At 49.9% G+C, this 27,007-nt stretch overlaps 1 protein-coding gene, 1 long non-coding RNA gene and 1 other non-coding gene across 5 annotated transcripts, besides 8 other annotated features; 2 read left to right on the top strand and 1 right to left on the bottom strand.

Moving 5' to 3' along the window:
* Positions 888-1,644: an enhancer, noted in NCBI's record as "H3K27ac-H3K4me1 hESC enhancer chr8:27474096-27474852 (GRCh37/hg19 assembly coordinates)". NCBI's record gives its function as "activates a minimal SCP1, AML or CMV promoter by ChIP-STARR-seq in primed H9 embryonic stem cells {active_cell/tissue: H9 hESC(primed)}" and the evidence as "EXISTENCE:reporter gene assay evidence [ECO:0000049][PMID:30033119]".
* Positions 1,935-2,435: an enhancer, noted in NCBI's record as "H3K4me1 hESC enhancer chr8:27473305-27473805 (GRCh37/hg19 assembly coordinates)". NCBI's record gives its function as "activates a minimal SCP1, AML or CMV promoter by ChIP-STARR-seq in naive H9 embryonic stem cells {active_cell/tissue: H9 hESC(naive)}" and the evidence as "EXISTENCE:reporter gene assay evidence [ECO:0000049][PMID:30033119]".
* Positions 3,280-3,369: a silencer, noted in NCBI's record as "silent region_19050". NCBI's record gives its function as "represses an Ori minimal core promoter by ATAC-STARR-seq in GM12878 lymphoblastoid cells {active_cell/tissue: GM12878}" and the evidence as "EXISTENCE:reporter gene assay evidence [ECO:0000049][PMID:35858748]".
* Positions 3,392-3,891: an enhancer, noted in NCBI's record as "H3K27ac hESC enhancer chr8:27471849-27472348 (GRCh37/hg19 assembly coordinates)". NCBI's record gives its function as "activates a minimal SCP1, AML or CMV promoter by ChIP-STARR-seq in primed H9 embryonic stem cells {active_cell/tissue: H9 hESC(primed)}" and the evidence as "EXISTENCE:reporter gene assay evidence [ECO:0000049][PMID:30033119]".
* Positions 3,523-21,306, top strand: CLU (clusterin). 3 transcript variants are annotated; one of them, NM_001831.4, is made up of 9 exons: positions 3,523-3,568; positions 7,623-7,748; positions 9,137-9,285; positions 11,699-11,869; positions 12,888-13,299; positions 13,828-13,932; positions 18,214-18,443; positions 19,588-19,763; positions 19,973-21,306. In NM_001831.4, the coding sequence occupies exons 2-9, from the start codon at positions 7,652-7,654 to the stop codon at positions 19,980-19,982; spliced, it is 1,350 nt and encodes a 449-aa protein (NP_001822.3). In that variant the 5' UTR covers positions 3,523-3,568; positions 7,623-7,651; the 3' UTR covers positions 19,983-21,306. The 3 variants fall into 3 exon arrangements, 1 of the variants encoding a protein (NP_001822.3); NR_045494.1 differs by lacking the exon at positions 3,523-3,568 and adding an exon at positions 6,472-6,622; NR_038335.2 differs by lacking the exon at positions 3,523-3,568 and adding an exon at positions 6,852-7,077.
* Positions 4,925-5,110: a silencer, noted in NCBI's record as "fragment chr8:27470630-27470815 (GRCh37/hg19 assembly coordinates)". NCBI's record gives its function as "represses an EF-1alpha promoter that drives an FKBP-Casp9 reporter gene in an ReSE screen in phorbol 12-myristate 13-acetate-treated (for megakaryocytic differentiation) K562 erythroleukemia cells {active_cell/tissue: K562(+PMA)}" and the evidence as "EXISTENCE:reporter gene assay evidence [ECO:0000049][PMID:32094911]".
* Positions 7,074-7,781: an enhancer, noted in NCBI's record as "H3K27ac-H3K4me1 hESC enhancer chr8:27467959-27468666 (GRCh37/hg19 assembly coordinates)". NCBI's record gives its function as "activates a minimal SCP1, AML or CMV promoter by ChIP-STARR-seq in naive H9 embryonic stem cells {active_cell/tissue: H9 hESC(naive)}" and the evidence as "EXISTENCE:reporter gene assay evidence [ECO:0000049][PMID:30033119]".
* Positions 7,472-7,622, top strand: MIR6843 (microRNA 6843). Its single transcript, NR_106902.1, has one exon. It is a non-coding gene; the product is annotated as a microRNA 6843 (primary transcript).
* Positions 8,488-9,194: an enhancer, noted in NCBI's record as "H3K27ac-H3K4me1 hESC enhancer chr8:27466546-27467252 (GRCh37/hg19 assembly coordinates)". NCBI's record gives its function as "activates a minimal SCP1, AML or CMV promoter by ChIP-STARR-seq in naive H9 embryonic stem cells {active_cell/tissue: H9 hESC(naive)}" and the evidence as "EXISTENCE:reporter gene assay evidence [ECO:0000049][PMID:30033119]".
* On the bottom strand, positions 20,664-27,007 carry LOC124901919 (uncharacterized). The gene is made up of 2 exons (XR_007060868.1): positions 25,611-27,007; positions 20,664-21,156 (listed from the first exon to the last, which is right to left on the bottom strand). It is a non-coding gene; the product is annotated as an uncharacterized LOC124901919 (long non-coding RNA).
* Positions 24,833-25,333: an enhancer, noted in NCBI's record as "H3K4me1 hESC enhancer chr8:27450407-27450907 (GRCh37/hg19 assembly coordinates)". NCBI's record gives its function as "activates a minimal SCP1, AML or CMV promoter by ChIP-STARR-seq in primed H9 embryonic stem cells {active_cell/tissue: H9 hESC(primed)}" and the evidence as "EXISTENCE:reporter gene assay evidence [ECO:0000049][PMID:30033119]".

Here is a 27,007-nt window from a genome sequence, read left to right as displayed (position 1 = left end):
CATAAAAAAGAACGAGATCATGTCTTTTGCAGGAACATGGATGGAGCTGGAGGCTATTATTCTAAGTGAAGTAACACAGGAACAGAAAACAAAATTCTGCATGTTTTCACTTATAAGTGGGAGCTGAATGATGAGAACACATGGACACATAGAGGGGAGCAATAGATACTGGGACCTAAAAAAAAAGTTAAACTCTACTATGCGATAGAATACCAGAACTTATCCCTCCCATCTGACTTTAACTGTGTACTGGTTGACCAATCTCTCACCATCCTCCCTCCCTGCTCCCCTTGGAGAGTGATTCTCTTATTTTTTTCATTTTTATTTTTGAGAGACAGGGTCTCACTTTATTGCCCAGGCTGGAGTGCAGTGGTGCGATCGTAGCTCACTGCAGCCTTGACCTCCTGGGCTCAAGCGATACTCCATCTCAGCTTCCTGAGTAGCTGAGATTGCGGGCATGCACTACCATGCTTGGCTAATTTTTTAATTTTTGTAGAAACTGGGTCTTGCTATGTTGCCCTGGCTGGTCTTGAACTCCTGGACTCAAGTGATCCTCCCACCTCAGCCTCCCAAAGTGCTAGGATTACAGGTGTGAGTCACCACGCCCATCTGAGAGTGATTCTTAATCACAGGCCACAGGATACTGCTCTTGCCCATTCCTAGTTTGTTCCAGCTGTATCAGACTGCTGGCTGAGCTGTCCTGCTTGTGGTGCTGAGCCAGACAAAGGCTGGTTGGGGATGTGTAATAAGGACACTGCGTAGCGAAGCAGCCCCAGAGACATTCAGGCAGCCAGAGATGGTGCACAAAGCATAGATAAACAGATAAATGCAAGGGTCTTTACTCATCCCTCCCTGGCCCTCCCCATGGCTCTGACTCTCCAAGAAAATAAATCAAGCTAATGCCCCAAACCCAGCTGTGTAAGTCCATAATGGGAGACAGAGGATCAAACAGCAGCACCTGCCAAGAAGATGATGCATTCTCTATGAATCAGCCCAGTGACTCAGCATCTGATAAAGCTTATTTGGAGTGTTTAGGGCAAGGGAAGGGGTGGTCCTGTTCTGCTTTGTGTGCTCAGGCCCTCCGGCATTGGCTGGTCCAAGGCTCCCCACTGGCATTGGCTAGTCCAGGGCTGGGCCAAGGGTTTCAAGAGAGATGAGGTCCAGAATGTCAAAGGGCTGGGGAAAAGTCTGCAAACCACGGCAAGGCAAGGAGCTGCAAGCCTGGAGGTCACTGGGAAAAGCAGACTACGTTGCCTTCAAATATCAGAAGGGGCACTATGGGAGAGATAGGCTGGATTTTCTCTGTGTGGCTCCAGAGGGCAGAACTGGGCTCCGGATTGGCCCATACACGAGCCAGACTGTGACTCAACCAAAGAAGGCCCTAACTTTATCAACAGCTTTACTAGACAAATGGTTGCATGGCAGGTAGTGAGCTCCCTGTTATTGGTGGCATTCAAACATGGGCAGGATGACCACCGGGTGCAGATGCTGGGGATGGGGTAGGAATCAAGCAGTGTGTGAGTCCTGAACCAATCAATGTCTATGATCTGCTTAGAATATGAAACATCTGGTGATGCATTTATGGCGCTTTCAAAATTTACACTTTTCTTTCCTCAAAGTTTGACCTTCTGAACCTTGTTTGCTTAGTAGTGGGAATAATCAAGTAATTATTCCCAAGGGATCACAGTCATGACTGTGAATCTGTGAATCATGCTATTTTCTCCCAAGTCCTTTCTTCCTCTCTTCCCTTCCCCTAATTCAGCTGGCTAAGGCGGATCTCACTGACTGACCTCCAAAGTCTAATTTTTAAAAATATAACTAGATTTATGCCTTCTGTTCCGGATGCTGAGGGAGCTACAGAACAGAAAAGTTACAAGGAGCGAGCTCAAAAACAATTCTTCTAACCTCAGGTATTGATAAGGAGCAGGCACTGATAAGGAGCAGGCACTGTCCACAGAAAATGTAGCTGTTACTGATAATTAGACATTTTTTTTTTAAGAAAAATAAAGTGTAGCCTCTTCTGGGACATTTTTTTCTTCTTCTGGGTTAATGGCCTTCTAATACTTGGCTTGGCTCTAGGTTAGGTTGCAGGGAGCCGTGGAGATGATCCATTCCCGATTCCTCATCGTCCAGATGGAAGAAACTGAGGCCCAAGGGCAAAGTGATTAGTCCGAGGTCACCCAGTGTCTAGGGGCACACCTAGGACTGTAATCAGACTTTCATGGACCTGGTCTGGGTTCTCCCACTTAGTCATGGGCCTTGAAGATTCCCCGAGGCTGCCTCCTGAAAAGGACTGGGGTCCTAGTGGCCCCTGGACGTTGGGCAAGCAAGGGACTGGGCCTCCATGTTGTGCCTCCATAGTCCTGATCCTGAACTGGAAAACTCAGCCCCTGACCACGCAGCTCTCCTTTAAGCCCCTTTGTTTCACATGGTTTTCAAAGTCTGCCACCCACAGTGGGGCTGCCTGTACCCGCCCTGTCCACCCATTGCCCCAGCTGTCAGCCCCTTGACTTCTCTCCTGGGGCTTAAACATCCCTGGCTCCAAAATGGGCAGCTCACTTTCTTCCCCAAGAAGTAGCTGCACCTCCAGGGTTCCTAGATTTGCCCCTCCTTGCCAGGGGGAGGGGTGGCTGCGACAGGAGATTCTCCCTGCTCTCAGCAGAAGGAACTCCAGCAGTTGGAGACCAGCAAACCCCTCTGGACACAGATCTGATTTCCTAACTGGGAAGGCTCAGGGCAAAATAAAAATTCAGGTCCACTGGTTCAAAAACTATGAAGAATTTCAAGACCGTCACAGTAGCCCATTAAACCAAACGTGGATCTGCAAGGGTCCCACAGCCATGAAGCCCACCCTGCTTGGTTGGGTTCCAAAAAGATGGGGACAGTGATTGCTTAAGCTCTGTGGATCAAGGACCCCGGAGAGGCCTTCTGGCTCTCCACATATCTGCTCTGATCACTCCTAAACACAATTCTGTTTCCTCCAGGCCTGGCGGGTCAGTCCAGGGACCCCCATCAGTGTGATGTTTCCAGGAGTAGGCGTTTCAATACTTCCTGTGCTCTCTTCTCCAGCACAAGGCCCCTCTCCATCCCACCCTCATTATGTCTGACTCTTTACTATTTAAATGGGTCAAGAGAAGTGGCGCTTGTGTAATGTGAAGGTTAAGGTCAGTAGGGCCAGGGAACTGTGAGATTGTGTCTTGGACTGGGACAGACAGCCGGGCTAACCGCGTGAGAGGGGCTCCCAGATGGGCACGCGAGTTCAGGCTCTTCCCTACTGGAAGCGCCGAGCGGCCGCACCTCAGGGTCTCTCCTGGAGCCAGCACAGCTATTCGTGGTGATGATGCGCCCCCCGGCGCCCCCAGCCCGGTGCTGCACCGGCCCCCACCTCCCGGCTTCCAGAAAGCTCCCCTTGCTTTCCGCGGCATTCTTTGGGCGTGAGTCATGCAGGTTTGCAGCCAGCCCCAAAGGGGGTGTGTGCGCGAGCAGAGCGCTATAAATACGGCGCCTCCCAGTGCCCACAACGCGGCGTCGCCAGGAGGAGCGCGCGGGCACAGGGTGCCGCTGACCGGTGAGATGTCCCCGTCTTCCCTACCCTTGAGCAGAGCCACACCAGGACGGATGGGCGGGCAGGGGATGGCAGCCAGGCAGAGAGGGATGACACAGCTCGCAGTCACAACCCCTGCGCTTTCGACGGAGCCCAGGAAGCCAGGGAGGGGAGGTGGCCGGAGCCCCATCACCAGGCAGCTGAGCCAGGGGCCCCGGCGCAACCGCCGCCTGAGAGCACGAGCTCCAACCACAATTCTGTGGTGGGGGGGTAAATAGAACAGATATAATGATCATCCTTTCGCAAAGATGGGGAAACTGAGACCTGGAGACCTGCCGCGTTGCGGGAGACCCAGGCTAGCAGGTGACAGAGCTGGCCTGCACCGAGCTCCTTCCTGCAGCATATCCTCTGCGAAGATGCGGATCTCTCAGTTGTGGCTTTCGGCTTGCATGCATGAGTCATCTAGTTTTCTTCTAAATTCTCTAGCTCTCTGGACACTGTTGCCTGTAAGTATGAGGCTGCGGATTTCAGTATATGCTGCAACCACCGAAATCCGACTTTTTCTGCCTCCTAATGCATCTGAGGTGCATCAGAGAAAAGTCACACAAGATCCACCAGGCCTCAGACCTCTGATTCCACAGTCTCATTTTACAGATGATAATCTGAGGCCTGGAGAGGTTTAGGACTGGTGCCAACACTAAACAGCAAATAAGTATCAGAATTGGGATTCGAGCCAAAGCCTCTTGACCTTCCAGAATTTCTGGACCTAGTTAAAAAAAATATGATTTTTATTATTATTTTTTAAACGGAGAGGTTAGGAATTTAAAGGAAAGTACAGATACTATATAAAAAAAGATGCCCATGAAAATGTTAAGTTATAATAATAGTGGAGCATTGGGCACAACTGAAATGGCCAATCTTGTGAGAATGGTAAAATAAACTTAGGTCCGTGAGTAAGTGGAGTATTACATAGCCATAAAAGTATGCCCTTAAAGAATATTTGAAGATGGTGAATGTGAAGAATCTTGTATAAACTGCATGGAAGACAGAAGGAAATATACCACAGTGCTAACCTTTGCCTCTGGGTGATATGAATTACCGGTGATTATTTTTCTTATTTTCCTTTTGGTTTAGTTTTCTCCATTTGAAGAAGCAGATAGGAGCCGGGGCTTTGGGATTGAAACCCTCACCATCTGTGTGCCCTCTTCACTGTCTTCCCATCCTCCCCACGGCTCCCTGTTCACAGTCATTGATTTTCTTTCTTTCTTTTCTCTCTTTTTTTTTTTTTTTCCTGAGACCAAGTCTCACTCTGTTGCCCAGGCTGGAGTAGAGTAGCGCCATCTCGGCTCACTGCAACCTCCGCCATCCGGGTTCAAGCAGTTCTCATGCCTCAGCCTCTGAGTAGCTGGGACTACAGGCGCATGCTGCTACATCCGGCTAATTTTTGTATTTTTAGTAGAGACATGGTTTCACCACCTTGGCCAGGCTGGTCTCGAACTCCTGATCTCAAGTAATCCGCCTGTCTTGGCCTCCCAAAGTGCTGGGGTGACAGGTGTGAATCAATGCGCCCTGCCAGGTCATTGATTTTCTTAAGCCTCCAGCCCTGCCCTGCTTGGAAACGTTTTGGGAAGCTGCTCAGTTCAAAGTTCCCAGGAGGGTGTGCCTGGAGGGGAGTTGCTCCCAAAGTCTGCCTGCTCCCCCCGCCCCCCCTGCCCCCCACCCCCCGCCATCTTCTCCTCCTCCTCTTCCCCTGAGCAGCCCCTTTGTCCACAGAACCGGCCTTTTCTGGTAGAAGGAGCAAGGCCAAGTGGTTTAAGCCTTCTTAGGGAGAATGAGGCTGTGTGGTAGTGCTGGGGACTCGAGGGCCTTGGCCTTGGCATGGCTCTTCCACCCAGGGCAGCTGGCAGCCAGGCTCCCAGGAGGCAGAGGAGATGAGGGGGGAGGTGAGTCCGAGCAAAGGAAAGGAGGTCGGCTGTGCAGTCACGGTTCTAGAACATTCCTTGGATCAGCAGCATCCATATCACCTGCAGACTGGCTGGAAAAGCAGTCTCAGAACCAACATTATAACCAGCCCTGCAGTGATTCATAAGTACTTTAAAAAGTGGTCAATCATTTCAGCAAAGCAGAGCCACACAGTCCGGGGGACCACAGGTGGCCTCTGTGTGCTTGTCTCGGTTTTCCTGCCCCTCTCCAGACATGTTGATTAGACACTGCCAATGCCCAGCCTCAGACCTCAGTCTAATTTGGAAGTAGTCAGAATTTACTATGATTACATAAGACCCTCGTGTTTACAGAACACATTCCCCTCTCTGAGGTCTGGATTAGATCCATTTTACAGATGAAGAAACTGAGGCTCAGATATTTAAGTGACTTGGAATCAAGGAAAGAATACTGGACTAGGGGTCGGGAGGGCTGGGCTCTCATCCCAGGGTTACCATGAGCATGCTGTGGACTCTAGGGAGTCCCATGCCCTCTCTGGGCTTCAGCCTCACCGCTAGGGTAGAGAGGTTGGGTGAGAGAACGACCTCCTTCCCAGGTCTGAGCTGGATGGTTCACCAGGGACCCCAGGCTCCCTGGAGCAGACTCTGTGCCCGCTGCTGAGTCTGGAATTCCTTTCCTGTATCTTGCCTTTGGCTGCCCCATTCTTCATGGCCCAGCACCCTGTCTTCTGGTCAGAACCTAGTTCTGAATGGGTTTTTCCAGAAGTTGTTGCTTTCAGGGGCCCCTGGCAGAGAGGTGTTTCTGGCTGGCTTTGTCTCTCTGGCATGACAAAGGCTCTGTTCCTGCTGGAGGCATTTCAGGGCTCAGTGGGCAGCTGGGGCAGAGCCCGTGAGACCACAGCCTTCCTGGTGAGCCCGGTCTCCGCCCCCTACCCCATCTCTGGGGAAGGCGCTGACCCCATCTCTTCTCCCACGCTGCTCCCTGGCTCTTTGCGCCTGATTACTTCTCATGAGAGGCACTCCTTGTTAATGTGCTACTGAGTGTCCAGATGGGCCTGCTGGGCTGAGCGGGCTTTGGATGTGAACCATTTCAGGAAGGGGAACCCCATCGTCCTGTTGGTTCTGTGATGGCAAATGGGTGAGCTCAGATAAGCAGTTCTTGGGAGGGGCATGGTGGGGGTGGAGTGCAGGGGGAGGGGTTTCTGTTTTATGCAACAGCCTCAGCTTCTGGGAAAGGGTCCATTGTGTAAGACCGGGGCTATGGCCTGTGCCCCGTGGCTCAGGGCAGCCAGCCCAGTGGTGGCAGGAACACTGGCAGGGCAGCCTGCTGTCGGCTTAGAGGGGATGGGCAGTGTGGAGGGCCTGGCAGAGCAAGAGGACTCATCCTTCCAAAGGGACTTTCTCTGGGAAGCCTGCTCCTCGGGCCACTGCGAACCCTCTCTACTCTCCGAAGGGAATTGTCCTTCCTGGCTTCCACTACTTCCACCCCTGAATGCACAGGCAGCCCGGCCCAAGTCTCCCACTAGGGATGCAGATGGATTCGGTGTGAAGGGCTGGCTGCTGTTGCCTCCGGCTCTTGAAAGTCAAGTTCAGGTGGTGCTGAGACTCCCTGGGGGCTGCAGCGCTGTGGTGAATGGGGAGCGTCTGCTGGGGTGAAGGTTTAGGTGCACATTGCAGAGGACGTGGCTGGTCTCTGGGATGCAGTCCCTCTGTGGAGGTGGCATGGGGAGGGACGGATGCATGACCTAAGGGGGGTATTTTCAGTGTCTGACATGATCGATACCACTCTGGACAAGGAGGCCAGGATGCAGAAAGCCTGTGTGCCTCGCTGATTGTCGGGGAGGATGTGGCTTGGACAAGAGCCTGGTTCCTCCGATGCCAGGGTTCTTGTTTCTTCCACTCAACATTGCTGTCCTGCAGTCCCTCCCTCCCTGCACCTCCTGCCTTCGCTTTCATTCGAGGTGTCCATGGCAAGTCTGGTCATTTCCCCCCATTTCCTCAGGAATAAAAGTGCAGCAGTGCCTGCTGTGGGGACAGCTGAGGGCAGTGAGGCCCTGGGGAGCTGCTGCAGGCAGCAGGTGGGCGGGACGCCAGCAGGCTGTCTAGCTGTTCCCATGATGGTCTCCTGTTCTCTGCAGAGGCGTGCAAAGACTCCAGAATTGGAGGCATGATGAAGACTCTGCTGCTGTTTGTGGGGCTGCTGCTGACCTGGGAGAGTGGGCAGGTCCTGGGGGACCAGACGGTCTCAGACAATGAGCTCCAGGGTGAGTAGACCAAGCATGATGTTCCTCTGGCCACAGGGTGATGAGGTCAGAGGGCAGGGTAGCTAATTCTGCTCAGTGCCTCTCTATCAGGCCCCAGTGTTACAGACCGTTTTTATCTTGTGCACTGGGTCTGGGTGCCTGTGTCTGGGCCCACTCTGAGCCTCAGCTCCGAGGCCCCTGGTTCAGGCTCTGCGTGCATCAGACTGCCGGCATTTGCAGGCATTTCCCAAGCACTTTCGGCTGTTGCATTTCATTCAGCTCTTCCCCTCCCAGGCCCCTTAGCCCAGCTCCCAGGCCTCCTCCACGAAGCTGTGTCTGGACCACCGGAGCTCTTATCCCTCTCCCCTTTGGAGTGCCCAGAGCTTATCCCTCCTGTGAGCTGACGGTTTCTGCAGGATCATTGTTAAAAACCCAGATCAGACATGGGTGTGAGTCTGTTTCACCTCTTCTCAGCTGGGTGACTTTGGGCCACTATCTTGATCTCATGACACTCCCCCCACCCCCCATTTTATTGAGATATAATTAACAAATAAAAATTGTGTATATTTAAGGTATATGACGTGATGTTTTGAAATGCACATACATTGAAATGATGACCACTTTTTATGGTGGGACGGTGGGAAGACTTAAAATCTACTTTCTTAGCAAATTTCCAGTTATGATATGGTGTTATTAACTATAAGCACCACCTGTATGTTAGACCTCCAGAACATACTCCTCCTACCTGATGAACACTTTGACCCTTTATCATATCACACTTCCCATGTCTCCCTCTGCGAAGTGGGCACGGCGGGGGGCTGGAGCATTATGTAAACTGCACATGAAGTGTTTGGCGCAGTGCTTGGCATGGGATAAACACCAGTGAAGTAGCACTTAGGTGACACAGTGTTTCGCTGCATTTGTCACCAGTGCTATACCTTACTCATTTACTCATCTTCTTATTCCTGTCGCCTGGCACTGCATTGGAACAAAGAAATACACATATCTGTTTAAACTGAACTCTAGAAAGATTTGTGTCCAAAATAACAATATTTTATATTTTGATGCTGCAAAGCTGACACTTCTGGGTTTTTTTTTTTCCTTGCCAAGTTTCTTCTGCACCCAGCTCATTCTCCAGGGGCACATGGCAGTGGCTGGGCATAACTCTGGGTGTGCCGGCTCCCATGGTCTGCATTTCTAAGCAGTAGGGTGCAGTCAGCAAGGAGCCTGTGATGGGAGCCTGTGCCAGGGCAAGGCTGGGGCCATGCTGCTGCCTGCTGGCAGGAGTGGGGGTCCCAGCCTTGACAGCCCCTGAACTGAACGGGCCTTTCTGGCCATCCAGCTCATTCCAGGGTCCTGAGGCCACCTCTTCCTCTCGCCTCATTCTGCCTCTTGCACTTCTCTTGCAGAAATGTCCAATCAGGGAAGTAAGTACGTCAATAAGGAAATTCAAAATGCTGTCAACGGGGTGAAACAGATAAAGACTCTCATAGAAAAAACAAACGAAGAGCGCAAGACACTGCTCAGCAACCTAGAAGAAGCCAAGAAGAAGAAAGAGGTCAGGAGGAGCCGCTACCGCCTCCCTGCCTTGACCATCCCACTGGAGGGGAGGGAGGGGGTCACTGCGCGGTGCCCTGCTGGGTTGCCATGGTGACCCGCAGTCCTCCCAGGCTGTGTCAGCTGATGCTGAGGCTGCAATTAAGAAGCAGGGAAGGTTCATTTGCTTCTGAAAGCATCAGGGAGTGAGATCTTGGATCTGGTTTTGTTATGAGCCTGGCCCAGGGCCTAATGCCCAGATTCATTTCAATAGATGTTTCTAAGCCCTGATCACATGCTAGTTCCAAGCAGGCTCTGGATGGGGTGGCGGCAGGGGCCCAGACAGGCGTGGCGTCCAACCTTCAGGAAGCTTATCTAATAGGGGTGATATGGTTAGGGTTAAGGCAGGCACACAGCACCCCACGTCTTGCTAGAGTTCTGGACTACTTCATAAAGAAACATCTTAAGCCCAGTAGTGGATATAGCAGGTCTAGCCTGTGCTTAATGATTCAACAAAACTAAAACACTATAATTCAATGAACAACTTATTTAAGAAATCAAGTCTCCTTAAGAGTATCCTACAAACCTCCTCTCACGGTCGCCCTACTTCAGATGCTAAGATGTAGCTACCTGCAAGCTTCATGATCCATCGTGCATGTTAAAAGCATTTCAAAGGCTCTGAGAAGTTCTGCCGTAAAGAAACCTGTGTAACTCCATGAAACCCAGAGTTTTCCAAACTGACCAGGGAATTCATTTTTGTTTTTGTTTTTTTTTCCTGGCCGCTTTGAGCACAGCTCCATAGGAGCCACTTCAGGGATTGCTGGCCTGGATGTGGCTCTACCTTTTTTTCAAGTTTCATGCCCTTTCTTGGCCTTAGTATCAGTTCTCACCATTCTATGAGAATCCTCAAATAGCTCCTGGGGAAGGGGCATGACTTGTTCTCACATTTTTGTGGTTATCACTGGAGTTTGACATTCAACAATTCTGGTTTTATAATAAAGCACATCACATACATTTGGAGAAAAGAGCCTGCTACTTCTTAGTTGAGGAGTAGGTGAGCCAGAAGGCAAGGAAGTAGGTAGCAGGGGTGGCGCTTGTGTCTTGGCTCAGTGGGAGGTGGGTTGTCCTTGCCCAGCAGGGGACAGGGGATGATGGAGCAGGACAAAGACCTCACCTAACTCTGGGGTGTGGATAGGCTATTTTTTTTTTTTTGAAGACTAACACACTCATTCATAGAGACTTTAATATAGAAAAGTAGAAAAGGAAAAGTTTTTCCATAATCCTTTTGCCCAAGGACAAGTCACTGTTAACATTTGATCTATTTTTCCTATTATTTTCTTCTATGCTTTTTTGACAGTGGCTATATTTAAAATTATGAATTTTTAACATATAATATTCAAAATGGACTATAAACATCCTTTGTAATGATGTACCATCTACCCTTTATATGAACCATAGTTTGTTTAATCTGTCTCTTTTAAGCATCTGGGTTGGTTCTGATTTTTTTTTTTTTGCCATAAGCTAATACTGTTTCAAATATTTTTAAGTATCTTTTTCTTTGTCAGGGGATTCCTTTGAGATAGAGTCTTTGTTTTGTTTTGTTTTGTTTTGTTTTGTTTTTTTGAGACAGAGTCTTGCTCTGTCACCCAGGCTGGAGTGCAGTGGTTTGATCTTGGTTCACTACAACCTCCGCCTCCCAGGTTCAAGCGATTCTCCTGCCTCAGCATCCCAAGTAGCTGGGAGTGCAGGTGTGCACCACCACACCAGCTAATTTTTGTATTTTTAGTAGAGATGGAGTTTCACCATGTTAGCCAGGCTGGTCTCAAACTCCTGACCCCAAGTAATATGCCTGCCTCGGCCTCCCAAAGTGCTGGGATTACAGGTGTCAGCTGCCGCACCTGGCCTGAGACAGATTCTTACAGAATTATTGGGTCAAGTGGCAAGGGCCCGTTAGAGAATTTTGATAGCTGGTGTGGCTTTGGTGCTGAATGCCTGCCATTCCCTTTGCACGCCAGGAGGCATGGTTGCAATAGAAAGGTAAGATTCAGGGAGTCTGCAGCCTGCTTTGGAAGATGAAATTTAAACACCAGAAGCAGAGAATAGGAAATGAGGCTTCAGTGAGAGGGTAGTCATTGAGTAGGTGATCAGAGAGAGAGGTGGTGTCCACATGGGTTCCAGGAGTTGGGAAGCTTCTAGGAGTTAGGGAACAGTTGGATCTTGAAGGATGAGTGGATTCTTTAAGCCAGGTGGGAAGGGGATTCCAGGTGGGCGAATGAGGGGAAGCTTGAACTGGAGCAAGGGTAGGCACTTGCATGCTGGGTGGCCAGCCTATGGGAAGGCCTGCCCTGGGGCAGAGGGCCTGGCACCCAGCAGCTCTTTGAGTGCATGAGCCTGTGGTCTCTGTGTGGCTCAGCCAGCCTTGTGTCTTCCTGTAGGATGCCCTAAATGAGACCAGGGAATCAGAGACAAAGCTGAAGGAGCTCCCAGGAGTGTGCAATGAGACCATGATGGCCCTCTGGGAAGAGTGTAAGCCCTGCCTGAAACAGACCTGCATGAAGTTCTACGCACGCGTCTGCAGAAGTGGCTCAGGCCTGGTTGGCCGCCAGGTGAAAAGGGGACACATGAGTGGCCAAGGCTCTGAGTGGGGAAGGAGGGGAGCCTAGTGAAATATGCTTCATTCCGCATGCCAGATGCAATTGATTAGCATTGGCTGGCTTGCCCAGAGTGCCATGCTCCATTGGTAATGTCTGGCATGAGTAGAGAGAGTGGAGTCATCAAAAGGATGTAGGCCAGGTATCTGCCTTCTCTTAGAAAACTCATGCAGCAGTGCTTAGCTGGATGACATAATAAACTGCTTCGTGGGATGGCAGAGCCCTGTGTCCACTTATGTGGAAGGATTTAAGAATTTTTTTTTTTTTTTGAGACAGGGTCTCACTCTGTCACCCAGGCTGGAGTACAGTGATGTGATCATGTTTCACTGCAGCTTCGACCTCCTGGGTTCAGGTGATCCTCCCACCTCAGCCTCCCAAGTAGCTGGGACTACAGGCACGTACCACCACACCCAGCTAATTTTTGTATTTTTTTTTTGTAAACATGGGGTTTGGCCATGTTGCCCAGGCTGGTCTCAAACTCCTAAGCTCAAGTAATCCTCCTACCTTGGCCTCCCAAATTGTTGGGATTATAGATGTGTGCCACTATGCCCAGCCAATGTAAGATTTTGTAGTATATTAGTGTTGCTCCTGTCCTCTGCTGCAGGGCTTTTTTGATTGGGACTCAGTGAATTGCTCCAATCCCTGAAGTCACATCAGTTGGCCCTTAGCCGAGCGGGGGTGGATATCATTGGTGGCCAAAGATGACAGTGAATGAACCTGAAATGTTGGGCCTTGTGACTTTTGGGGCCTCCCAGGTGTCTCAAAACTGTCCCCCATGGAGGGAGATAAAAGGAAAGAGCATGGACCTGACAGATGGGGTGCTGGGGGCTGGTCCCAGCTGGGCTGTTGGTCACTTGCTGTGTGACTGTTACAGCCATGGGCAGGGCCTGGCCTGGCTCACCAGGGGGTGGGAGGCCAGGAGGCCGTGGCCTTGGTGAGCTTCTCCTAACTGTGCCCATGCTGGCTGTCCCAGCTTGAGGAGTTCCTGAACCAGAGCTCGCCCTTCTACTTCTGGATGAATGGTGACCGCATCGACTCCCTGCTGGAGAACGACCGGCAGCAGACGCACATGCTGGATGTCATGCAGGACCACTTCAGCCGCGCGTCCAGCATCATAGACGAGCTCTTCCAGGACAGGTTCTTCACCCGGGAGCCCCAGGATACCTACCACTACCTGCCCTTCAGCCTGCCCCACCGGAGGCCTCACTTCTTCTTTCCCAAGTCCCGCATCGTCCGCAGCTTGATGCCCTTCTCTCCGTACGAGCCCCTGAACTTCCACGCCATGTTCCAGCCCTTCCTTGAGATGATACACGAGGCTCAGCAGGCCATGGACATCCACTTCCATAGCCCGGCCTTCCAGCACCCGCCAACAGAATTCATACGAGGTGAGAAGGGGTGGAAGCTCATGGCCTTTTGAGCAACTCGTTAGATGCTGAGAACCATGCCGAGGGCTCAGCGGGTGTCATCTCGATTTTTCTCCAGCAATATCACAAGGGTGATATTATCCTTATTTAAAGAGGAAAAAAACTGAGCTGGGCATGGTGGCTCATGCCTGTGATGCCAGCACTTTGAGAGGCCAAGGCGGGAGGATCATTTGAGGCCAGGAGTTTGAGACCAGCCTGGCCAAGATAGTGAGACCCTGTCTCTACAAAAATAAAAACTTAAAAAATTAGCCGGGTGTGGTGGTGCACACCTGTAGTCTCAGCTACTCGGGAGGCTGAGGCAAGAGAGTCACCTGAGCCTGGAAGTTGGAGGCTGCAGTGAGCTATGATTGCACCATTGCATTCCAGCCTGGGCAACAGAGTGAGACCCTGTCTGTAAATTAAAAAATAAATAAAAATAACAATAGGAATCAGTGGAGTCCATCTCTGCATGGCTGGATGACTGACTCTTCTTCCCTCGTGTGTCCCCAGAAGGCGACGATGACCGGACTGTGTGCCGGGAGATCCGCCACAACTCCACGGGCTGCCTGCGGATGAAGGACCAGTGTGACAAGTGCCGGGAGATCTTGTCTGTGGGTGAGTCGGGGTCCAGACCACAAGCCGTCCCCCCTGATCCCTTGTGTCCTGGGGTCACTGGGGCCTCACTGGTGCTGCCTTTATGGAGTCAGACAGATAAGCGTTTGGATTCCAGCTCTGCAGCCTTTGAGCTGTGTCCCGGGGCAGGTCCTGAGCCTCATGCAGCTTCGGTTCCTCATCTTAGAATGAGATGATGATGCGAGGCTGTCCCTGAAGTCGGTGAGATGTCGTTAGAGATGCAAAAGTGCCCTCCACCTGGTCGGCCCCATGTTGAAAAAAGCTTGTTGAAAAAAGTCATCCCCCTGGGACTCCCCGGTGATTCTGTTCCCAAGCGCCAAGCGCAGTAGGCATCTTCATTTTCCTCTGCAGATTATGACATTGCAGACAGTATGTGTTTTGTTTAACAAAACTGACCAGAGGCCAGGCACTGTTCTAAACACTCGACATACATTTCCTCATTTCCTCAGAATGACCCTCTGAGGAAACTGAGCCACAGAAAGGTTAATAACTTATCCAAGATTGACCCCGACATGGGCGAGCTGGGCTTCAATCCTAGGGCGCTGTGTTCTCTCCTGGGGCCCCTCGCAGCCTCTGGCCACAGAAGTCACGGGTCTCAGTACCTGGGCATCCAAGCAATAGTCCCTTTGGTCGGTTGGTTGGTCCCCTAGGCAAAGGGAATATTTCCCTTTAACTGTCCCCCTCCGTTTCACCAGCTCTGGTTATGGGTTAACTTCTTTCCACTTAGAGATAACAGCTGTGACAGTATTTGGACTAGTTCCTGGTACACAGCAGTTCATACTCACAAAGAGTTAATTGTTTCCCCTTGTCAACAGCTTATCGATCTGGTGGCTTTGCTCTTACTTAATGCTTAGTTTGAGTTTGCCATGGCAGGCCGCCAGGGTCTAGTTAAACATTCCTAGCCTCACTCCTATAATTTTAGAAGCCACTGCAAAATAAACAGTTGTGCTTTAACAGGCTGAAGTATAAGTTGCTGTAGATGAGTGCACAACCAGGCCTTGGGGCTTTTTCTATAAAAAATATCATAGAGTGGCATCAATTACATGGTACCTCACCACAAGAAAGTCATGTTAGGGTCTGAGAAAAGATGTCCAGATGCCTGTGCCCAGATTGGACCTCTTATGCTGATTTTTACTCTGTTGCCCAGGCTGGGCTCAGGTCTGGCGCCAATCTTAACAGTCATTGATTACAGTTGAGAGTGCAGCCAGCGCCAGTCTTATCAGTCATTGATTATAGCTGGCGTACAGTGGCTCTATCTCGGCTCACTGCGACCTCCGCCTCCTGGGTTCAAGTGATTCTCCTGCCTCAGCCTCCCAAGTAGCTGGGAGTGCAGGTGTGCACCACCACACCCAGCTAATTTTTGTATTTTTAGTAGAGACAGCATTTCACTATGTTGGCCAGGCTGGTCTTGAACTCCTGACCTCAAGTAATCTGCCCGCCTCGGCCTCCCAAAGTTCTGGGATTACAGGTGTGAGCCACTGTGCCTGACCTGAGATAGATTCTTAGAGAATTATTGGTAAGAATAATTCTCTAAGCTGAGCTAAATAGTCTACACTGAAGAGGACTGCCTACTGTTATTTAAGGTGCTTGCAACCATATAAGCACGTACTGCCTGGGAACTCTAGATGAGGATTTCTCAATTTCAGCGCTGTTGATTTTTTTTTTTTTTTTTGAGACAGGGTCTCTCTCTATCACCCAGCCTGGAGTGCAGTGGCACCATTACAGCTCACTGCAGCCTAGACCTCTTGGGCTGAAGTCATCCTCCTGCCTCAGCCTCCTGAGTAACAGACTACAGGTGTGCTCCACCATGCTTGGCTAATTTTTTTATTTTTAGTAGAGATGGGGTCTTGCTACATTGCCCAAGCTGGTCTCTAACTCCTGGGCTCAAGTGATCCTCCTACCTCAGCCTCCCAGAGTGCTGGGATTACAGGTGTGAGCAGTGCTGACATTTTGGACCAGGTCATTCTTTGTCGTTGGGGGCTGTCCTGAGCAGTTCAGGGTGTTTGGCAGCATTCCTGGCCTCTGCCCACTAGAGGTCAGCAGCTCCCTTCCCTTTGTTGTGACAACCAGCTTCAGAACTTGCTAAATCTCCCTGGGTGACAGCGTCACCCCAGTAGAGAACCTCTATTCTAGACTAAGCCTCAGCTCTCAAGGATTTTTCTTATTTTATTATTATTTTTTTAAGACAGGGTCTCGCTCTATCACCCAGGCTGGAGCGTAGTGGCGCAATCTTTGCTCACTGCAACCTCTGCTTCCTGGGTTCAAGCGATTCTCCTGCCCCAGCCTCCTGAGTAGCTGGGATTACAGGCGTGCACCGCCACGCCTGGCTAATTTTTATATTTTTAGTAGAGACAGGGTTTCACCATATTGGCCAGGCTGGTCTCAAACTCTTGACCTCAAGTGATCAGCCTGCCTCAGCCTCCCAAAGTGCTGGGATTACAGGTGTGAGCTAGTTTTTCTTATTTTTAAATTTTTTTTTGGTAAAATAATGAAGTTTATTTATTACATATTTATTTTCAAACTGGCATCTTGTTAGTAATTCTGTTTCTTTCCCCACCTAACATTTTGTTTACTATAAATGATTGCAGTCATCATCCTAAAGCATATGCAAAATCTCCCTTCCCCTGACTCACGTTTGATGTACCTGCCTCTGGATATTTTTGAAATACCTTAGGGGGAGAAAAACAGTAGTTTTAAGAGCTAGTGGACAGTTTCCAGGTCTTAATGAATCTGACAACCTGCAGCCCAGGGCCAAGAGGAATGAATTCTCTTTTCCCTGCTCTCTTGATGAACTCACTGACCAGCCATGGGCGGGCAGGTGGGCAGGCAAGGACCCCTGGCCACCAGGTGCCAGTGCATCAGCTGCATGAACTCCTGGCACCAGAACTGCCACCTCTACAGACATGCTCAAAAGACAAGTTTGGACCGGGTGCATTGGCTCACACCTGTAATCCCAGCACCTTGAGAGGCCGAGGTGGGTGGACCCCTGAGGTCAGGAGTTTGAGACCAGCCTAGCCAACATGGTGAAACCCTGTCTCTCCTAAAAATACAAAAAAATCACCCGGGGGTGGTGGCAGGCACCTGTAATCCCAACTACTCTGGAGGCTGAGGCAGGAGAATTGCTTGAACCCGGGAGGTGGAGGTTGCAGTGAGCTGAGCTCGCGCCATTGCACTCCAGCCTGGGAAACAAGAGCGAAATTCTGTCTCAAAAAAAAGACAAGCTTGGAGGATTGTCCAGAACCACAGATCCAGGGTAGGAAAAGCCCAAGCTTAGGAGCTGAAGACCCTGGTTCAATCCCGGGCCCAGAGATCATTTATTCTATGGCTTTAGGTAAGCTATTTATTGATACTTCTGTGGGCCTCAGTTTCATTATTGGTAAAAATTATTTCATTATTGGTAAAATTAGGACTTAAGTCCTAATCCTTAAGTCAGAACAGATCCAATTCTTAGAGAAAAAGGATATCCAGAGAGAACTTTCTGCGGTGTCTGGGACGAAGGCAGTGCCACACGAATGGCAGCTGTGAGTAATATTCCTCCTCTCTGGAAATGATTCCCGGGAGGGACTAGGGCAACGAGAGCCACTCCAGGTCTGAGAACATGGAGAACTTGAGATCAGTGCTTTTGGAAGTGTGGTCAACACAGTTTGTCACCAAAGAGATAAGGGTCTGGCACCCAAAGATAAATCAATGATGTTACGAAGCACACTGTTTAGGTCAGTTGGCGTATTTTTCCAGAGCAAGGCTTCTCAGGCTGGGCGTGGTGGCTCACACCAGTAATCCCAGCACTTTTTGGGCAGATGGGTTGAGCCCAGGAGTTCGAGACCAGCCTGGACAACACAGAGAAACCCCGTGTCTACAAAAAATACAAAAATTAGCTGGGCATGGTAGCATGTGCCTATAGTCCCAGCTACTCAGGAGGCTGAGGTTGGAGGACAGCCTGAGCCTGGGAAGTCAAGGCTGCAGTGAGCCGAGATCTCACCACTGTATTCCAGCCTAGGCAACAGAGCAAAACTCTGTCTCAAAAAAACAAAAACAAAAACAAAAAACCCAAAAGACTTTCTGGATGACGGAAGCAGTGTCTAGATTCACATTCTGAGGCAAAACCTTTATTTTGTCGTGGACAATTCCAGTTTGTGGCCCTTCCCTTAGGGAAGCACTGCTTTTGTTCCCGCTGCATGTGCTAACTTCCATTCATTCATGGTTCTATCCCTTTGTAGCCTTCCCTTCACACTTCTCACTTGCGTTTCTTCCATCTCTGGGCAGACTGTTCCACCAACAACCCCTCCCAGGCTAAGCTGCGGCGGGAGCTCGACGAATCCCTCCAGGTCGCTGAGAGGTTGACCAGGAAATACAACGAGCTGCTAAAGTCCTACCAGTGGAAGATGCTCAACACCTCCTCCTTGCTGGAGCAGCTGAACGAGCAGTTTAACTGGGTGTCCCGGCTGGCAAACCTCACGCAAGGCGAAGACCAGTACTATCTGCGGGTCACCACGGTGAGCTGTGTCCCGGCCACATGCTGTGGCTCGGGAGCCCGAGCTGTGATCGGGAGCAGGGGCATGTGTGCTTTTGACTGAGCATTTATCACACGGCAGAAAATAGAAAACTTTAGGCGCCCCTGTTGCCTTGAAGCCTCATCACCCACTCAGGGAAAATATAACCCTGCTTTACAAAGGAGCAAAGTAAGAGAGGTTCCACAGCTTGGCCAAGGTGTGATAGCTGACAGATGACTTGGACGGGTATTTGAACCTGACTGCCTGGCTGCCAAGCCTGTATTTTGTTGTTGTTGTTTTTGTTTTGGTGCACAAATCTGTGAATAAACCAGAAGCCTCTGTTCTTTTCTCAAAGCTACAAGGCTGCCCTCTGGCATGTAAAATGGCTTATGAATTAGTACATCACTCTCTGCCAGTGATAAAAACTTCTCTCTAGGCCAGACATGGTGGCTCATGCCTGTAATCCCAGCACTTTGGGAGGCAGAGGCAAGAGGATTGCTTGAGGCCAGGAATTTGAGACCAGCCTGGGCAACACAGCAAGATTCCCTCTCTACAAAAAATACAAAAATCAGTCAGGTGTGGTGGCACACACTTGTAGTCCCAGCTATTCAGGAGGCTGAGGTGGGAGGATTGCCTGAGCCCTGAAGTGGAGGCTGCAGTGAGCTGTGATCACGCCACTGCACTCCAGCCTGGGTGACAGAGTGAGACTCTGTCTCTTAAAAAATATATATATATAAAATAATAAAATAAAGTTAAAAAATCAAATAAAACTTATTTCTAGTACTGGGAACTCTTCTTTTTCTTTTCTTTCTTCCCTCCAGGCCCTCTGGATTCCTTTTCTACCCTACTCTGACCAAGGGCTGCTTCTAAAGCAAATGTTTGGAAACCACTTTTATTCTTTGGGGTGCTCCCTGGGCTGGTCATTTGCAGATGACATTTGCCCCAACACATGAGTGTCTGTGAACCAGGTCCGTTCTGTCCACTGAGCTGTACTTACGTCTAGATGTATAAGAAGCATGGGGTCAGCTCTCTAGGTTTCCTTGGAGAAGCAGGAGGACTTCCTTATCAGAAGCCTGACTTCTGTTGCAGAGCGCATGCATTTTGACCACAGTGTTTCAGCTCTTCCCTTTTCTCTTGTTCCATTTAGGTGGCTTCCCACACTTCTGACTCGGACGTTCCTTCCGGTGTCACTGAGGTGGTCGTGAAGCTCTTTGACTCTGATCCCATCACTGTGACGGTCCCTGTAGAAGTCTCCAGGAAGAACCCTAAATTTATGGAGACCGTGGCGGAGAAAGCGCTGCAGGAATACCGCAAAAAGCACCGGTAAGCAGGCGGGCCTTTCCTGCGGGCCTGCAGGGCCCAGTGAGTCTCTGGGAGCCACAAAAAAACAAACAAAGTGCAGACTCTATAGCCTGGTGGGAACGACTCCGCCCGGAGCCAGAGCCCAAGAACAAAGCCAGGAAGTTACGGGGGAATTTTATTTTTCCTTTGGAGGATGTTTTACTTTGGAGGATAACTGTTTTTTATTTCAGGGAGGAGTGAGATGTGGATGTTGCTTTTGCACCTACGGGGGCATCTGAGTCCAGCTCCCCCCAAGATGAGCTGCAGCCCCCCAGAGAGAGCTCTGCACGTCACCAAGTAACCAGGCCCCAGCCTCCAGGCCCCCAACTCCGCCCAGCCTCTCCCCGCTCTGGATCCTGCACTCTAACACTCGACTCTGCTGCTCATGGGAAGAACAGAATTGCTCCTGCATGCAACTAATTCAATAAAACTGTCTTGTGAGCTGATCGCTTGGAGGGTCCTCTTTTTATGTTGAGTTGCTGCTTCCCGGCATGCCTTCATTTTGCTATGGGGGGCAGGCAGGGGGGATGGAAAATAAGTAGAAACAAAAAAGCAGTGGCTAAGATGGTATAGGGACTGTCATACCAGTGAAGAATAAAAGGGTGAAGAATAAAAGGGATATGATGACAAGGTTGATCCACTTCAAGAATTGCTTGCTTTCAGGAAGAGAGATGTGTTTCAACAAGCCAACTAAAATATATTGCTGCAAATGGAAGCTTTTCTGTTCTATTATAAAACTGTCGATGTATTCTGACCAAGGTGCGACAATCTCCTAAAGGAATACACTGAAAGTTAAGGAGAAGAATCAGTAAGTGTAAGGTGTACTTGGTATTATAATGCATAATTGATGTTTTCGTTATGAAAACATTTGGTGCCCAGAAGTCCAAATTATCAGTTTTATTTGTAAGAGCTATTGCTTTTGCAGCGGTTTTATTTGTAAAAGCTGTTGATTTCGAGTTGTAAGAGCTCAGCATCCCAGGGGCATCTTCTTGACTGTGGCATTTCCTGTCCACCGCCGGTTTATATGATCTTCATACCTTTCCCTGGACCACAGGCGTTTCTCGGCTTTTAGTCTGAACCATAGCTGGGCTGCAGTACCCTACGCTGCCAGCAGGTGGCCATGACTACCCGTGGTACCAATCTCAGTCTTAAAGCTCAGGCTTTTCGTTCATTAACATTCTCTGATAGAATTCTGGTCATCAGATGTACTGCAATGGAACAAAACTCATCTGGCTGCATCCCAGGTGTGTAGCAAAGTCCACATGTAAATTTATAGCTTAGAATATTCTTAAGTCACTGTCCCTTGTCTCTCTTTGAAGTTATAAACAACAAACTTAAAGCTTAGCTTATGTCCAAGGTAAGTATTTTAGCATGGCTGTCAAGGAAATTCAGAGTAAAGTCAGTGTGATTCACTTAATGATATACATTAATTAGAATTATGGGGTCAGAGGTATTTGCTTAAGTGATCATAATTGTAAAGTATATGTCACATTGTCACATTAATGTCACACTGTTTCAAAAGTTACTTTTTCTTTTCCACTGTTATGTTGCTAGACTCTGGAACTCACTATATTCAGTGGGTTTTTTGGTTGCTGCTTCCCCCCCCCCCCGCCCCCCGAGACAGAGTCTCACTCTGTTGCCCAGGCTGGAGTGCAGTGGTGCAATCTCGGGTCACTACAACCTCCACCTCCAAGGTTCAAGCAGTTCTCCTGCCTCAGCCTCCTGAGTAGCTGGGACTACAGGCACGTACCACCACACCTGGCTAATTTTTGTATTTTTAGTAGAGACAGGGTTTCACCATGTTGGCCAGGCTGGTCTCGAACTCCTGGCCTCAAGCGATCCGCCTGCCTCAGCCTCCCAAAGTGCTGGGATTATAGGCGTGAGCCACCGTGCCAGGCCTTTATATCCAGTGTTTTGGATTTTTTTTTTACACTCTTAAATACTAGCACCCTGAAAGACAGATCCTAAAGCTGGCTCTAAAGCTTCCTGAGACCCCTTCTCTGCACCTCCTTACCCCTCTGCACAGTGGCCTGGGGTTGGGGGTCCTTAGATGTCTCTCCATCCCTGACAGAGGTTCCAACATGAGGCACTGGGAAGACTGAGTCAGCACATGATGTCACCAAGGTGTGGGGATGAGATGAGGCTAATTCTGCCTGGGGGACTGCGGACCCTGAGCCCTTAGTGTCTGGCTTCTAGGACTCTTGTGGCAAAGGGGGAGCAGGGCTTGATGTGCTGAGAAGAGAGGGATTTGACATCTGTCTGGAAAGGGAGGCAGCACCAACCCTGCTGAGCCCCTCTGTTGACACTCAACTGTCATCTGCCAGAAAATTGTAATAAGATACAATCTCTCATGGGTACAAGGTGAAACGGTGCTGGAGTTGTGCAGTGCATGGCTTGTACAACTGTAAACAGTGGCCTTGGGCCAATTACTTCATGTAATCTCACTAGGTTTCAATAATTATTTCCAAGGCAGGAGTTACTTTCCCCACATTACAAAGACTTCCCAGAATAGCCTGCATCAGATAAGTGTCTTGGGGCTAGGAAGGCCAGAATGGGGGAGCAGCCACCCCAAGCCTTTGTGGCCCACGGAGCCTGCTGAAGGGACTTCAGGGTTGCCCATCCCTCACTGTGAAGTGGCCCAGAGTAGGAAAGGGGTGGGAGCCAGGAAGCCACCCAGGTGTGCAGAGCAGAGCTCTGGTATAGAATAGGTGGCAGCAGAGTGGGAGGCAAAGTGCTTTGATGTGAAAATGCCTGACATTCTCAAGCAAACCACTTGTTCTTTTAACTGTGGATTTATCTGGAAGTAATAGAGTCTGCTTGAGATGTTACCAGGTGATGGAACACTGGTTAGAATGAATAAAAGGTTCACGTTTGTGTCTTCAAATGAGCTGAGCCTCCACAATAAACCGGTTCCAGGAGCTGTTATCCACAATGAAGCGTGAGGCTGAGACATGACGCATCCCAGGGCGAGGTCACCCCGAGAGAGGCTGGGCTGTGGGAATAACAGGGACCACTTTTTTGCAGTTGTGCCACTGGTAAGTGCTGAAGCTAAGAATGAACACGGGTCTGTCTCTGGGGATCACAGGGCCCCACTAGAAAATAGGATAGTGGCAAACCCAGGAAGTATCCAGTAGTTCTAGAGACAATGCAAAGAGGACTTGGGTCTCCACGGTTTATTATAGAACCAATGATTACTAAGTCAGCCGATGTGATAGCAGCGAAGGCCAGGCCTGGGGGACACATTTACAAGGTTAATAATGAACTCTTTGTTTGCTCTTCTCCTACGCTGATCTGGTTAACCTGTAAGCCCAGCCCCTTGGTCATAATCCTCCTAGATGATGGCATCTCTCAGTGTTGGCCGGGGCCACATCACAGTGTGGACAGCTCCTCTTGCCCTGGCCCCCACAATGCCACGCTGAGGGCTAGCTCACTGGAGGTCCAACAGCTGCCACTAGCTAGCTCTGGTCCAGCCCAAGGCAGGGTGGGGACTTCCTCAGGGTAGGAAAGGGGACAGGGAGAGGTACAGCAATACTACCTGCCTATCCTCATTTGTTGCCACCAGCACCCAGAGGAACAAAGACCATGACATTGAGCTGGTGCCAGACATTCTCCCAGGACCCCACCTTCACCCCTAGTCCTGCTCAGGTGCCCAATCCTATAAAGACTAGCCCCATCCTTAAGGTTCATCATGAGGAGGGGGTGACAGGGGGACACTTACTCCAGCCTCATATTCATAAGAAGACTTCAACATATTTACAAATGACCACATGAGTATAAAACCACAGAGATGCACTGACACTGTCAAAGGAAGGTGTTTGTTTTCCACGTTGAAACCTGTGCCCATCACCAGCCCACATGCTTAGAGAACACGAGGCATTTTTGTTTGTTTGTTTGTTTTTAAATAGAGATGAGTTATTGCCCTGTTGTCCAGGCTGGAGTGCTGTGGTGGAATCATAGCTCACCGCAGCCTCCAACTCCTGGGCCCAAGTGATCCTCCTGCCTCGGCCTCCCTAGTAGTTGGGGCTACAGGTGCACACCACCATGCCTGGTGGTATTGGTTTTTAAAACTCTAACTGCAATTACCTTGAGCACAACACAATATAATCTCACTTTGTGTGTGTCAAAAATTTTAACCCAAAATGTCAGTAAGTCTGTTTTAGAATTTTCTGGAAATGGGCCGGGTACGGTGGCTCACGCCTGTAATCCCAGCACTTTGGGAGGCCGAGGCGAGTGGATCACGAGGTCAGGATATCGAGACCACGGTGAAACCCCATCTCTACTAAAAATAGAAAAAATTAGCCCGGCGTGGTGGCGGGCGCCTGTAGTCCCAGCTACTCAGGAGGCTGAGGCAGGAGAATGGCGTGAACCCGGGAGGCGGAGCTTTCAGTGAGCCGAGATCGCGCCACTGCACTCCAGCCTGGGTGACAGAGTGAGACTCCGTCTCAAAAAAAAAAAAAAAAAGAATTTTCTGGAAATGTCTGGACCTCTCTTAATCTCTAAAAGCCCTGCCATATGGGGAAGAAAACCAGGGTGGAAACTAAGATATACCAGGCTCAGATATTTAGTGCATCTTTACTGAGATACTGCCTTGAAATTCTTCCTTTTTACTGACTCAAGGCCCCACCTGGACTTTGGGATGAGGGTACTCATAGGTATTCTTCTGTCTTCCAGTCTTCCATTTTGGAAATAGCTCCCAACTTTTGCCTCATTCTAGTAACCGCAAACCTGGCCAGGCACGGTGGCTCACGACTATAATCTCAGCACTTTGGGAGGCTGAGGCGGGTGGATCACTTGAGGTCAGGAATTCGAGACCAGACTGACCAACATGGTGAAACCCCGTCTGTACTAAAAATACAAAAGTTAGCTGAGCATGGTGGCGGGCGCCTGTGATCCCGGCTGCTTGGGAGGCTGAGGCAGGAGAACTGCTTGAATCCGGGAGGCGGAGGTTGCAGTGAGCCAGGGTCACACCAAAGCACTCCAGCCTCGGCAACAGAGTGAGACTTGTTCTCAAAAAGTAACGTAACGTAACGTAACGTAACGTAACGTAACGTAACGTAACGTAACGTAACTAGTAACCGCAGACCTAAGGATAAGATCTTTCTCGCAGGGGACTCGGAGACATCCCTTCCAGTTTGAAACCACCTGTCTGTCCTGTAGCGAACTCTTCCTTTCCGGCAACTCGCCTGGTGCCTCCCTGGGGGTTCGCTCCCGTCTCTGTGCCATTCCTCAATCACTTTAGCGTGGGACTAGCAGGCTGTGCAGGGTTGAGGTTGGAGACCAGGGCTTGGTGTCCTCCTGTGTGCCTCGCCTGGGTTAAGACAGCTGCCACCAGGGGCCACCTGAATCCCCGCCCCCCCGGCCCCGCGCAGGGGCCGACAGGATGCTAACCCTGTGAAGGCCCAGAGTGAGATTCCTTCAGCTGAACTGTGTCCCTAGGGATGGGGGCTTCACTGGCCCCTCTCCCCCGTCAGCCCGACCTACCCGCCTTCCTTAGGTCACAAAGCCACATCTTACCCCGGGGACCCTCCCATGTAGGTGGCCAGGTTGGCTCTGCCGATGTTGGGCTATCCCCACCCAATCCCCACTAGTCAAGTGAGGTGGCATCTGTCTTCAATTCTCTGTCTTTGTATTTTTGGGGGGGCTTTCTGAGTGGTGGTCAGGTGCTGTATCCCCTGGGACGCTCAGAGCTCAGCTGGACCCCTCCCTTCCTCGGCCCTGCACCTGAGGAGTGTGGGGCCAGGTGGCCGCCTGGAGGGGAGAAGCTGCCGGAAAGCCACTCACTCTACATGGTGAGATTTGCGCATGCCCTGTTGGCAGGCGACTTCTTACCTCAAATTCAGCTTTGAGAGCCGCTCACGGCCAACAGCCTCAATTTTGTGCTGTGGCTGAGTTTCACGCTAGCCAGGGAGGCGCCGTTCCCCATCCTTCCACGTTATTGCAACTTCTTGGATGCTGCGAGCAGAAGCCGGGTCACGCGCACCGACTCTCAGCCTGGCCGCCAAGCGTTCCCGTTTCCTGAGCTGGGGAGGGCTTTGGCCACAAGGGGGCAGCGCGGGCTCACGGCGACTTGGGCTTAGATGGGGAGGGCAGCGCTGGGAGAAACGAGGACCTGGAAACCAGGAAAGGAAGCGGCCTGAGGACGGGGAGGCACGTGGATCGCATCAGCGATGCCCCTCAGCGCCCAACCTAGGGGCTGCGTGCACGCCGCTCCATATCAAAAGATCTCTGCAAGGAGAACGCTCGGGAAAGAAGATCTCAAGCACCAGAAAAATCCCACAGCAAAGAAAGAGTATCTTATACGCATCTAAAAGCTGAACCGAAAATTGCATTGATTCTGGAAGGTCTATTTCGAGAACATTCGATTGCCTTAGGCTTCTAGGAATTGAAGTTTTACTGAGCCTCAGGGTTTCAGGCTTCAGTCACTGTGCTGTGCGTCCCTACTGTCTTCACTACTTCCATCGGGTTGGTGTGCGGGGTCAGAAGTCCGCGGAACAGGCGTGGCACTCCTTCCTAGAGCAGAAATGTTAGGGAAAACGATTTGGAAAATAAAACACTACTTAAAAATGGAAAACACAATTATATAATGGAATAGAATGCAAAATTCATAGACGTTTAGAAATTAAAATATAAGCTATAGAAAACACACGGCTACCAGGCACTCTTTGATGGAGAAGTGTGAAGACACCGCCTTTCCTAACTTGCTGTGTGACACTGGACAAGTTTCATCACTTCTCTGAGCCTTGGTTTCCTCATATGCAGAACAACCAGGTGATTTGGACTTGATGATTTTCAAAGCCTGCTGTGCTTTTGTTTTTATTAACTTCACCAATCCATTTCTTTTCTTATGTATCAGTCAGGGTTCTTCAGAGAAACAGAACCAATATATATTTCTATTAAGAGAGTTATTTCTAGGAATTAGCTCACGATTATAATCTTGCAAGCCCGAAATCCGTAGGGCAGCCCCAAAGACTGGAAACTCAGGCTGAGTTAGTGCTGTGGCCTTGAGGCAGAATTTCATCTTCTCCTGAAAACCTAGATTTTTGATTTTAAGGCCTTTTAACTGATTTCATAGGATCCACTCACAGTATCAAGGATAATTTATTTTACTTAAAGTCAACTGATTGTTAACCACATCTACAAAATATCTTCACAACAACACGGAGATGGGTGTTTGATTAAATAACTTGGTACTGTAGCCTGGTAAGTTGACACAGAAAACTAACTGT

This window comes from Homo sapiens, chromosome 8 (genome assembly GCF_000001405.40).
Source record: "Homo sapiens chromosome 8, GRCh38.p14 Primary Assembly".
NCBI lineage: Eukaryota > Metazoa > Chordata > Mammalia > Primates > Hominidae > Homo > Homo sapiens.
The sequence above is the reverse complement of the archived record's forward strand: the minus strand, read 5'-3'. Positions and strand labels throughout refer to the sequence as shown.

Excerpts from the sequence above, each read along its gene's own strand:
- CLU (NM_001831.4), top strand. The coding sequence starts at position 7,652 with ATGATGAAGACTCTGCTGCTGTTTGTGGGGCTGCTGCTGACCTGGGAG. Across the intron at positions 13,300-13,827 it reads GCCAACAGAATTCATACGAG|AAGGCGACGATGACCGGACT; the intron begins GTGAGAAGGGGT and ends GTGTGTCCCCAG. Across the intron at positions 18,444-19,587 it reads ACTATCTGCGGGTCACCACG|GTGGCTTCCCACACTTCTGA; the intron begins GTGAGCTGTGTC and ends TGTTCCATTTAG.